The following is a 13471-nucleotide window of genomic DNA, read 5'->3' as shown; positions in this document are numbered from 1 at the left end:
CTCACAGGTTCAGAGAAGCACAGAAGGAATGGAACTCTTAGGCCATCTCAGCCATTTTCTGGTCAGAGCCAACTGAACTTCTACCAAACAGCTTCTTGGCTTTTCCTCCTTGTCTCTCTACAAGGTAAAATTAACATGTTCTTCAAGTCAAGATCATTAATACTTTACAGAGTTGGAGACTAGGACTAGACAAGGAAAATACTCATTTTAGTTACATGAAATACCCAAAGCATTCAGACTCCTGCTCAGAATGATTGCTATTTGATTGAGCCAATGCTCCATTGCACAGTACCTCATAGGTCTGATAGCTTCGCCAGACACTGATTACATTTTAGATATTTTCATCATTACTTTTACTTTCATATCCTCCCTTAGAAGTCATAGATGAAGTGGAATATAATTTTTTTAAGTACTCAATTTCTGTAAGAGATCATGAGGCATAATTTTTACCAAGTCACAAGAACTTTGGGGCTCATAAAAGGAAAACAGCTGTCTCTCTGTCAGGCATCAGTGGCAACTAAGGGTGTGATTTCAGCTTGGAGAATCTAAACGTGGACAGAAGGCTCTTGAAGAGGTGTTCAACATGGTATCAATAGCATTTCTAGGATGACTGGGAACTCATAGTGCATTTTCTATGTGAACATACTACAGATAATATTTTATGAGTGAATAGAGCTTCAGAGTTTTCAACACTGATAGGTATCATTAATTACACATTAATGCTTCCGATTCCTGACATTGCAAATGAAATAGTTGAGCAGGTGCCTCTTATTTTACCGAGTTTGGGAAATTACAAGGTAAAGCAATAGTAGTTGTACCACCAATACGTAGACGTTACCAGTGGCAGGCACTATTCTAAGAGCTCTATGTGTATTAGCTTATTTCAATTTCCTCTGTGACCTTATGGAGCATATACTGCTGTTATCTTTGTTTTGCAGACAAGGCAGCAGAGACACAAAGAGGTCAAATATTCATCCAAGTTCATACAGCTTTTACGTGGTGAAGCTTTTGTTTAAACACAGGCATCATCACTACAAAGACTCTGCCCTGCTCTTCCACAAAGGAGCTTTGTCAAGCTAATCACAAGTTTCTGCCAATTTACTGAGAGTGATGTCCTTGTCTAACCAAACATTTCCCATCATGCAAATAAGAGATGTAATCAATAAGAGGTCCAAATAACTACAGATCTATGGTTTACATAGTAATGTACATATTTGAACATCATTCCAATTCCCATTGTACTGCCTGCTCCATAACTTATTTAAAAAACATCAGTATGGTCACTAAGATGTATGACGGGTGTAAAAATCCACTTTGATCTACTACCTGGGAGCAGTTTGCTAGCAGTTGAAGTGCCCTAGCCAGGTGCTTCAGAGGCAGTTAATATTTGCAGAACCCAATCAAGAATCTACACTCCAGGGGGCTTCTGTAAGCACCTCACATATCAGTCTCCAAATGTATGTCAGGGAGTTTTAAAAACAGCATAAAAGGTTGGGGCTCAGTGGCAGGTTCCTGCAGTCCCAGCTGCTCAGGAGGCGAAGCCAGGAGCACACAAGTTTGAGGCCAGCCTGGGCAACATAGTGAGAGCCTGTCTCTAAAGAAAAGTAGCATAAGTGTCATTAATGTCTAATGGTTCCAGCATATTGCTTTCTTAGATAAAAAGATGGTGTGCTAGATTTTCTTCATCTGCGTCGAACCGTCCAAGGCTGCCGCTATTCACTGAAGACTGTACCAGTTATCGATGGTCACAACTGGCTCTGGTCTGTTCACAACACGCAGGAAGCAGGTACTCAGCACACTGGGTATCAGCGTGACACAAGGCACACAAAGTGTACAACATATCTAACGTGTCATGAATGTAAATTAAAGCCAATATGCAAGTTTCACGTGAAGTGTTACTTAAGTTTGTTCTGCTTTCATGGGATTTAGAGAGTTTATGGGAATCTGGATGAACAAAGAGTTCCCTTTTCTTTTGGTGAATGTGCCCCCTGTGGAAAACAGACCCTGAAAACCATTCCACGATCCCCAGGAGGGCTTTCATTTTAATAATGTGTTTTCTTCCATGAAAGTGTGAAAATCCACTGTGATCTACTACACTGCACTACTACTCCTACACACTCTCCACCTCCTTGAATACTCAAGACAATAAAGCATGGAATTGCCCCACCCCCAAAATTCATTAACTCAAATTTATCTGCCTGGGGCCCACCTGACCTTTTGCTGGTACCTCTTAGAGCACTTCATTGGAACAGAAAACTATTAGGTCATGAGTGCTGACTCTTTAAAGATGCTTTGAGAAACTATAAAGAAGTGCAAAGCAGGCCTTGCCTCACGCTGGCCTTGCAGTCCCTAGACATGAGCAGGACACACAGATGGAGGGTAATGGTCACACCACCAGGGTTTGGTGCTCATCCAGCAGGACTGAGGGCCCTAGCTTAGGAAAGGCTCTGCTCCTTGTACAGTGGGCCTGACTACATCGCTAATGAGAGCATTCTGAGTTCCAACTCAAGAGGCACTAAACCCCTCTCCAGCAGCAGCAGTTCTGGAAGGAAGTCCTTTCTGGCCAGACTAGCCACATCCCCACTTCCTCCATGCTGGCCACCCAGTGAAGGTGGCAGTTAGTGTGGGACAGTGAAGACAGTCTCTCTTGGGGGCTCCCAGGTAGGTGGAACCAGGACGGTGGCTCCGTGGGGACTGTGGCAAGGGCTGTGACTGGGAGAAGGGGGCCTCAGGAGTCAGGGCAGGGCTGCAGAAAATGGGGAGGGTGCCATGGAGTCCAGGCGAGGGCGGTGGACTGGGCAGGGTGGAGCAGAAGTGAGTATTGTTGGCAGGAGACTTCCCAGCAGCTACTCCTTGTCAGGGGCTGCCTGACTGCATGGGTCCTAGAACCACGCAAGGGGAACTAGTGCCAGGGGCAGCTTCGAGAGTCTCATCTAACATGATTCCTGCTGACATGCACGGGGAAATGCTTCCGTGCCAAACTGGGTCTCCTGATCTGATCACATTTTTCAAGTACTTTTATGTTCTTGACTAGTTAAGGAAAATCCAGCCCTGGAATTTCATCCATGCCAAACCAGATATGAAATAAATACCCTTCGGGCCCTTTTCTCACTTTCCCTGCCATCCCAGGCTGATGACTCCAGGCTGAGCTCTATAAATATCTTCTCGAGTTCATCATCCCTCACTCTACCTCCACTGCCCTTTGAGGGGATAAGATCTTTTATATACATAAGGAAAGATGTTGTCCTCCAATGACCCTAACATGTTCCAGCTTTCCACAGGGCTGTGAGTCATTCCATGATAATGGCATATCACTGAATAATTATATGTATTTTGGATATGCATATGCATGTGACTGCTTTGGTAAAAGAAGTATGGATGACTCATTGTTTAGCTGAAATATTTAATAACTTAAAGTCATTATTAGCAAATTATTGGCCAAAAATTCTGTGCTGTCCCACTATAGCTCATGCATATGATGATAACGAAGATGACTGAGACCATCCTGGCTAACACGGTGAAACCCCACCTCTACTAAAAATACCAAAAAAAAAAAATTAGCCGGGCATGGTGGCAGGCGCCTGTTAGTCCCAGCTACTCAGGAGGCTGAGGCAGGAGAATGGTGTGACCCTGGGAGGCGGAGCTTGCAGTGAGCCGAGATTGCGCCACTACACTCCAGCCTGGGTGACAAAGCAAGACTCCATCTCAAAAAAAAAAACAAACAAAAGAAAAACAAAGAGTAATTTATAAACAAAGAGTGGCAGCTGGAAACACAATCAACCATGTAATGGCGGTAACAAAGAACTTTCATCAAAACTTGGAGAATTCCAACTCTTTGCCCATATGCCTACATACTAGGAACTTTGCAAAATTACTGAGCCCTGCATCAAAGTGCACATTCTTAACAGAACACTCACTCACAGGCCTCAAAATCTTCATCTTCAGTAACATCTTACGTTTAGTTTATGAATAAACAAACTTTAATAAACTTTAAAAAGTTGTAGGACTCTATTAAGCTGTCTTTAGTTTTTATTAAAATCAAAATTCGATGTAATTTTATGACATTTTCCCAGAAGAATAAAATGAAGATATGCATTTTGCTTATCAAAATCAGTTTGTGGCCACCATGAGCCACAGGACTCTCTTTAGAGAATCAGCAAGACAGATACACTGAGTTCACAGCCAGTGATGAGTTCACAGCCAGTGCTGAGTTCACAGCCAGTGTTGAGCTCACATTCTGGCATGTGGGCGACTGCTTCAGTAAACTGGAGCTTTTCCCACTTTGTGTGTTTAAAGCTTAGGTCAAGGGTTGGAGACTCCCAGAAGCCTCTATGGCTGCCCACCTCTTCTCTTCCTCAGTCTCCAATATTTTGCAATGTTTAGTATGTTTAAGATCCTTTCTGGGAAACAAAACAAATCAATAAGGCATTTTTCTGCCAACAAGCTATGGACTGCAGTGGCTGTTTCCCACGTACACAGCTTATCTTCTTAGAACTAACATCTCCAAGCAAATGAGCCCCTCTGCAAATGCTTTAGGGCATTTTCATTCTAATCTCCCCCCACCCCCTAACTTTTTTAAAGGAAGTGTTTGGAATTGAAACAGTTAAGTCACAGAGTAGGCAAAAGCGATCATCAAAGTTTACTTTCCCATTATTAAAAAAGGAAGCAAGAATCCTCAGGGCTCCTGTGCTCCCAGCCTCAGAAATCTAAGCATCAGCATATAAACCTTCCAGGGAACAACACTAAGTAGATTAAGCTGCCACATCAACTGTGATTGATTTAAAATATTTAGGGCTCTGTTATCACATCAACACAATTTCGTGTAAATGCCTTGAAGAAAAAAGTCCTTTCAATGGATTTGCTAAAGCAAAAGCTTAATGTGAATGGCAAAGCAATGAACTTTTTATTTTATTAAGAAGATACTAAAAAAGATATTTTAAATCTCCTGGTTATGGATTTTTGAGGGAGATTAGTCCCAGAGAATGCCTAGGCTCTTGCAGCCAAAATTCTAGGGGCCCTTTCTCTTAGGGACGGGGGACACACCTTGGGTTCATTATTATTTGCACTGATCTCTCTTGAATTTTCAGGTCAGACAATTTCTGCCCTGTGGCAGAATGACCACCTGGGTAACATTGCCTTGATATCTATGCCATTTTTTTCTTTTTTAAACATCTTTTTTCCTTTGTGATAAAAATACTACTAACAAATAATTACAATAATAGTAATAAATACATAATTATTGTTATTTTTATTGTGATAAGAAACAACAGCAGCAACTGTCCCTTGCTGACCATGTCATGTGCTGCACGTATTCCACTCCAAGTCTCACACAGTCCTCAGGAAGTGTAGTGTTTGGGGCATTCTTCCCATGTACACATGAGCATGTTGAGGTCGATGGAGTGGAAGACCCTTGTCATGTCCCGTGACTGGGCCAGGTCTCCTCCCTGGGTCCCTGCAGCTCCACAGCCTTACTTTGAACCACTCATGTTCTGATCTCCAGCCCCTGGGTTCCCTTCCCTATCCAGATATTGAGCTGATCTCACACCCAAGCAAAAGAGCTGTTAGTGGGATCTCAGATATCAGGGAGCAAACAGGACCCAGTTTTCCAGTTGCTCCTAGGTATAAGGCCTTTTTCTCACAAAAGGGCAGCACACAAGGGGCTTTAGAGTCCTCATTGTCAACAGTCTACTGAGTCCAGGGGGCAGGCAAGCCCCAGAGGCTCAGGGATTGCACCCCAGGCAGAGGTGCAGCCCCTCCGGAGCTTCCCTTTGTGCTGCTGCCTGTACCTCTTTGGTGGAGCTGGGGACATCTCCGGGCACACCATTTCTAGGGCTGTTTCTGCACAGAACAGGCATAACTACAGCAGACTGTGTCCCCTCTTTCATTCCAGTGGCTTTTTCAGGTGTAGCCAAGGACTCATGTGACAATAAAATCTCAGGGTTGATTCTCCTGGGGCTCAGAAGGAAACTGGACTCTTCAGCATGCTCTGAGCACCGGCAGCCACATTGGAATAAACATGGGGCTTCCATGGTGACCACACAGGGAAGGACAGCCTCATGTGGATGCTTGGGTTCCAGTATGTCTGTTAGAGAATGGGCTGCTTAGCCCCCAGGACCGTGGCAGTCTCTGGAAGACAGATTTAGGGAGAAAGCCCTTGGAAAGGGACTTGTAGGAATATTCTAGACTGATGGAAATGGTCTATGTCTTGACTGGGGCTATATAGTATATACATTTGCCAAACTCATCAAACTGTCCTTCTGATGTACATTTTATTATGTACAAATTATACCTCCATTTACAAAAATTAAAAATCAAGTCATAGAACTTTATGGCTTCAGAGAAATTATCCTAGGAGGTAACACTAAGCTTGCATATCCATCTGCTTTATAATTTATGATGCATAAAGCCACTAAAATGCAGAATGAGGCATGCACAGCACTAGGAGAAAGTGATACTGGCTTGAGAAAGCACCCAGAATCTCCCTGACCCTCCCTTGACCCAGCCTAGCAGGGTGAGTTATTGCTGTGACCACACGGTTTCAGGCCAGGAGGCTGAGAAGAGCTTGGGTTGTTCATCAGCCCCATGCTGGAAAGCATACGGTTACTGTAGCCACATGTGGAATTCAAAAAAGGTAATTACCCTGAGCTTGGACAACGCCTTTCCCCAATAAATATTCCTTACCTTGTGTAAACTTGGGCCAATTATTTAACCTAACCATGCCTCATCTATAAAATAGAACCTTGTTATGACAGTACTATGAACTGAATGTCTGTGTCCCCCCAAATTCATATATTGAAACCCAAATCCCTAAGGTGATGGGGTTAGGAGGTGGAGCCTTTGTAAGGTGATGAGGTTATGAGGGTGTTGCCCCTATGAATGGGATTCATGCCCTTATAAAGAGATAAAAAGATAAAAAGATTTGTGCCCTTATAAAGAGATAAAAAGACCAGAGCTCTCTCTACTCTGCCAGGTGAGGACATAAGAAGACAGCCATGTACAAGTGAGGAGGAGAGCCCTCACCAGACAGTGGGTCTGCCAGCACCCTGATCTTGGACTTCCCAGGCTTCAGAGCTGTGAGAAATACATATTCATTGTTTAAGCTACCTAGTCTGTGGAATCTTGTTATATCTTGTTACAGCAGCCTGAACAAACTAAGACAGAGGGTGGAATGAAGTAACAGAAAACAAAGTGCTTCCAGCAGTGCCTGACAGCTAATAGCAATCAATACCTGGTTGTTATTGTTACGATGAAGGGTCATGAGCATGGAGACAGGTTATCAAAGTTTAAGAAGAGAGCTTCCCCCTCTGACTTCTAGTTATTTAATAATGTATACAGCATGAGTCTTCTGGTGCCAAAGGCAAACCAGTGGTAGAAAATGTCCAGCAAGGTGGAGGCGCTCTCAGCAGCAAGTCACTCTGATGATTTATTTGGAAAGATGCAACTCATTCTTTCTTTTCCAACTGTCCCCTTCCCAAGGCAAAACGAGGCACTTATGTCTTGGAGTGGGGTAGAGACACATGCATTTGCAGTCCCTGAGCGTTCCCAGAAGTCACCTCCTGACATAATAAATCTCCCATTAACGAGCCTCCTGCCCTTCAGGGATGAATTGCAGAGCTCTGCAAAGCCCAAAGCCAGCACACCTGTCCCAGGTGAGTGCACAACACTGCAGGCCCCTGACAACAGCCTGATGCTGTTCTCTGATGCTGATCAGCCTGATCCCAAAAGCTCTAACAAAATCTTTTAAATTTTGCAGAACCTCAAGAAACTGGAGTTTAATTTACAGTTAAAGTCAAAGAAAAATGAAAAAGAACCCAACTCCAATGTAGCAGCAGCAGCAACCACAAATCTTCCTTTTTTCTCTCTGTGCACATCTTACCTTCATACAGCCAGTCACTGAGGCCATTGTAAATCACACCTTCCTTGCCAGTGGAGACCACACGGATGGCCTGTTTCCCGACATGTGCACAGTAGTAGATATTGTTTTCAAAAATAAATATCTAATTTGGAAAGAGAAAAAAGCATAATATTAAGCAAGGAAGTGGTTATAAATAGGCTGTTCTTAAAAAATCTGAAATCATCAACCGGGTTTTCATTTTCCTGTTGTATTTATTAGACAGAACAAAGGCAGTCTCAAAATTCTTGGAGGTCTACCCACCTCGAACAGAATATACCTGTAAGGATTAATCAGAGGCTGAAATTCCACATTCTTCACCCAATGTTATCACTTACCATGACTGGACAATTTGTGGTCTGATACTTCTAGCTACTTAAAATCTGATATGGTTTGGATTTGTGTCCCCGTCCAAATCTCATGTCAAATTGTAATCTCCAATGTTGGAGGCTGAGCCTGGTAGGAGGTGACTGGATCATGGGGCTAGATTTCTCCCTTGCTGTTCTCATGATAGTGAGGGAGTTCTCACAAGATTTGGCTGTTTAAAAGTGTGTAGCCCTCCCCCTGTGCTCTCTTCCTCCTCCTCCAGCCATGTAAGTTGTGCCTGCTTCCCTTCACCTTCCACCATGATTGAAAGTTTCCTGAGGCCTCCCCAACCATGCTTTCTATGTAGCCTGCAGAATCATGAGTCAATTAAACCTCTTTTTAAAATAAATTACCAAGTCTCAGGTAGTTCTTTAGAGCAATGTGGGAATGAATACAGAAAACTGGTACTGAGAAGGGGCCATTCTTACAAAGATACCTGAAAATGTGGAAGTGACTCTGGAACTTGGTAATAGGCAGAGGTTGGAACAGGTTGAAGGACTCAGAAGACAGAGAGATGAGGGAAAGTTTGAAACTTCCTAGAGAATTGTTGGATGGTTGTGACCAAAATGCTGATAGTGATATAGACAATGAAGTCCAGGCTGAGATGGTCTCAGATGGAGATAAGGAACTTATTGAGAATGGCAGCCAAGGTCACTTTTGTTATGCATGAGCAAATAGATGATTGGAAACTGGAATTTATATTTAAAAAGGGAAGCTGAGCATAAAAGTTTGGAAAATTTGCAGTCCGACTATGTGGTAGAAGAGAAAAACTCACTTTCTAGGGAGGAATTCAAGCCTGCTACAGAAATTTGCATAAGTAAAAGGAACCAAATATTAATCACCAAGACAATAAGGAAAACGCCTCCAAGGCATTTCAGAGAACTTTGAGGCAGCCCCTCCCATCACAGGCCTGGAGGCCTAGGAGGAAAGAATGGTTTCATGGGCCGGGCTCAGAGTCCCACTTCTCTGTGCAGCCTTGGTGCCCTGCATTGCGCCCACACCAGCTCCAGCCATGGCTAAAAGAGGCCAAGGTACAGCTCAGGCTGTTGCTTCAGAGGGTGCAAGCCCCAAGTCTTGGTGGCTTCCACTTGGTATTAAGCCTGTGGGTGTGCAGAGTGTGAGAGTTGAGGCTTGGGAGTATCCACCTAAATTTCAGGATGTATGAAATGCCTGGAAGTCCAGGCAGAAGTCTGTTGTGGGGTGAAGCCCTCATGGAGATCCTCTACTGGGGCAGTGCAGAGGGGAAATGTGGGGTTGGAGCCTTCACACAGAGACCCCACTGGGGCACTGCCTAGTGGAGCTGTGAGAAGAGGGCCACTGTCTTCCAGACCCTAGAATGGTAGATCCACTGACAGCTTGCAGCATGCATCTGGAAAAGCCCCAGGCACTCAATGCCACCCTGTGAAAGCAGCTGAGGAAGCTGAACCCTGCAGAGCTACAGGGCAGAGTGGCCCAAGATCATGGAGACCACTGCTGTATCAGCATGCACTGGATATGAGTCATGGAGTCAATGGAGATCATTTTGGAGCTTTAAGATCTAATGACTGCCCTGCTGGGTTTCAGACTTGCATGTGGCCTGTAGCCCTTTGTTTTGGCCAGTTTCTCCCATTTGGAATGGGAGTATTTACCCAATGCCTGTGTCCCCATTGTATTTTGGAAGGAACTATCTTGCTTTTGATTTTACAGGCTTATAGGCAGAAAAAACTTGCCTTGCCTCAGATAAGACTTTGGACTTGGACTTTTGGGTTAATGCTGGAATGAGTTAAGACTTTGGGAGATTGTTGGGAAGGCATGATTGTATTTTGAAATGGGAGCAGGACATGAGATCTGGGAGGGGACAGGAGTGGAATGATATGGTTTGGATTTGTGACCCCACCCAAATCTCATGTCAAATTGTAATCCCTAATATTGGAGGTGGGGCCTGGTGGGAGGTGAATGGATCATGGGGGTGGATTTTCCCCTTGCTCTTCTTGATAGTGAGTGAATTCTCATGAGATCTGGCTGTTTAAAAGTGTATAGCACTCCCCCTTCACTCTCTTTCTCTTGCTCCCCCATGTAAGATGTGCCTGCTTCCCCTCTACAATGATTAAAAGTTTTCTGAGGCCTCTCCAGCCATGCTTCCTGTACAGCCAGCAGAACAGTGTGTCAATTAAACCTCTTTTCTTTATAAATGATCCAGTCTTGGGTAGTTCTTTAGAGCAATGTAAGAATGGACTAATACAATATCAAATTGGATTATTTTTGCAATCCAATTTTTCCTAGCAATTAAGATTGACGGGCTGGGACACTGTAGTTCTGGGTTTTATTCATTCAACAACATTCATTAACAATTATGCAGTGGGCACCTACTCTGCAGTCATGGGGGATCACAGTGGTAAATAGGCGAGAACTCCAATGCGCCTTTATTCTAGTCACAATCTGTAAAAAGGCCAGACTCTAAGCAGGACAGTGGTCTGATAGGAAGATTGTGGAGTTCTGGAAACACAAAACAGAGCTGCCTAACTCAGGCAAAGGGCAGGCAAGGTCTTTCTCAGAAAGCTATTGAAAAAAATTTACTGTTCTGATAAAATATGCATTACATACAATTTGCCATTTTAACCATTTTAAGTGTCCAGTTCAGTGCATTAAGTATGCTCATATTTTTGTGCAACCATCACCACCATCCATCTGCAGAACCTTTCCCTCTTCCCAGACTGAAACTCTGTCCCCGTTAAATACTATTGTAACTCCCCATCCCTCCCCCAGCCCCTGGCACCCCTACTCTACTTCCTGTCTCTAGGGGTCTGACAACTCCAGGGACCTCATACAAGCGGAATCATACAGGAGGGGCAAGATGGGATACTCAGGAGGCCAGGAGCCAGCTCCTGGAGGGTCTGGAAGCCACATTAAGGTGTCCCAAAGGCAATGGGAAGCCCCTGACAGAGGTGTGAGTAGGAGGCAACATGTTTACACTCAAGTCTCCTGAAGATGAGTATGGAGGCAGATGGTGTGGCGAAGAGAAGGGAGCCAGGCCTCAAATGAGAGGAGCCTGTTGCTATCATCTGAGGAGCACTAACCATGGAGATGGAGAAGGATCAGCCATTGAGACTATGAGAAGAACCCATTGACCATGGGAAGTGACCTGAGGTCTGGGGTGAAGTTGTGGGATGAGGCAAAGTTGTTCTCAAACTGATCTCTTGGGCCACTGGGTGATAGAGAACCATCTGCAGAGTTGGGGTACACTGGAAGATATTATAATTCTGACCTTGGGCAAGTCGCCCCCTCTCTGGGGAGGAGGGGGAGATGGTCTATGTTGGTGGTCCTCAGATTTTGATACATATTACATGGCCTGGGGAGCTTTTGAAAAACCTAATGCACAATCCACCAGACCAACCCAAAGTCAGAATCTCTAGGAATGGAATCCAGGCATCAGCATTTTAAAGAAACATCCCAGGTGATTACAATATGCAGCCAAATTTGAGAACCTGTGACCCAGGAACCACCTCATGTCTCCTGAAGCTCCTAAGCTATAAATTGTCCTACACAATGCATTTTCTGGTGCATGGATCAATTCTGCCCTGGGTTTTCTGTCTCTAAACTCTCTGCCCACATCCTTATGGGTACCTCACAAACTGATGCAGCCCAGACTGCAAATACCCAGTGTCTACAGAAATCAGGCATGCGGACCAAGAGTGGGGATCAAACCAGCTGTTTTCTTTTAGGAAATTCTAGGAAAAATATTGCAGTGTCATTTAAGAGACTATGGAGGGAAGGTATTTTGCATAATACAGGAAATGGCATGAATATGGAATTTTTTTTACTGAAAATATGAAAAAGGCAGTTTCTCCAGATTGTTCCCACAGAGGGATGGATCTGAAAGCAGTGGCAAATATTTGTTTTCTGCTCAGCCCTCCTGGTTCTTCAAGGATTCACTTCAGCCAGAAATGAGGTGGAAAACTTCCAGAAACAAGTATACAACCTAATTTAATTTCAGCAGCTGTTCTTATGAGTTTGCCTAAGGGTAAGATGTATTACTAAGTTTTAGCTTTTTTTTTTTTTAAAAATAAATGTGTTGTAAGCCTACAATGGATTTTTGAATCAAATCAGACCATAGCCAATTATTATTTTCAGTTAGTAAAGTTTGCTATGATGGATATTAAATCCTCTTTTTTTGCTTTGGTTTTATTTCTAATGGAAGGAAAATGAAAGAACAAGCTATAAAGAAGAGTGTATTTTGCTTTGAAGATCTTTCACATTTTCCTTTTTTTGAGAGAAAGGAGTCTTGCTCTGTCACCCAGGCTGGAGTGCAGTGGCTCAGTCTCAGCTCACTGTAAACCTGTTTCCTGGGCTTAAGCAATCCTCCCACTGAGCCTCCCAAGTAGCTGGGACTACAGATGCCAGCCACCACTCCTGGCTAATTTTTGTATTTTTTGTAGATGGGGTTTTGCCATGATGCCCAGGCTGGTCTCAAACTCCTGAGCCCAAGTGATCCACCCACCTCAGCCTCCCAAAGTGCTGGGATTACAGGCATAAGCCACTGTGCCTCACATTCTCCTTTTGATATTCAGATTAAGATATCTGAAGAAAAGAAGATGGAAGGCATCAAGTTCTGCCTGTGGTTTTGCGATGCTAACCCCCAAGAGGCTGAGAAATCCTGGATGCTGAGATCAAATATTGGGTGAGTGACTGAATTTTTACTTTTTATCCACCATGTGCATGGCTGGCAGAGCACTCAGGCTCCTCTGAGTTCCTGAGATTCTTGTTCCTAAAGGGACTTGAAGCCTCCCTACGTGTGGCCTTCACTATCTGGATTAGTCCACGCACCATCCCCAAGGCCTCACCCCACCCACCTGGAGCCACTCACAACCGTGGGCCACCCTCACTCAACTCCCTGCCTCCTGCTGCCGCCCCTGATTTATCTCATACGTTGCACACCAGATTTGTCTTTACTGAAACACGATTTTTCTCATGTATTTTTTAAAAATCTGAAATAACTTTCTGCTTACTTCAGAATAAAGTTTAAATCTCTAGTCTGCGACCCAAATCCCTCCAGAATCAAGATGTAACTTTCAGTCCTGCAGAAGTCATTGAGGTCCCATGATTCAGGGTTAGGGATGTCATTGGCCCTAAGGAGTTCCCATTCACAGTGGGAATCTGGATCTAACCAGCTCAGTGTGCTCCAGACTACACGATGGTGTCTGCAACACGTGCTGGGAGCACAGAGGATGTGCTGCA

General features: G+C 44.1%; 1 protein-coding gene across 13 annotated transcripts in view; it reads right to left on the bottom strand.

Annotated features, from left to right (window-relative positions):
• Positions 1 to 13471, bottom strand: part of DPP6 (dipeptidyl peptidase like 6) — a 1146153-nt gene that overhangs the window by 158522 nt on the left and 974160 nt on the right. For all 13 annotated transcript variants that reach the window (NR_157195.2, NR_157196.2, XM_047419951.1 and 10 more), the window contains one exon: positions 7877 to 7997. Coding sequence is in view for 11 of the 13 variants with exons in the window: in XM_047419951.1 (XP_047275907.1) it covers positions 7877 to 7997 (121 nt within the window). In the remaining 2 variants the exon portion in view is untranslated. The remainder of the gene's footprint in view (positions 1 to 7876; positions 7998 to 13471) is intronic.

Source organism: Homo sapiens, chromosome 7 (assembly GCF_000001405.40).
Source record: "Homo sapiens chromosome 7, GRCh38.p14 Primary Assembly".
Taxonomy (NCBI): Eukaryota; Metazoa; Chordata; class Mammalia; order Primates; family Hominidae; genus Homo; species Homo sapiens.
Note: the sequence above shows the minus strand (reverse complement) of the source record. Positions and strands in the feature narration are given on the sequence as shown.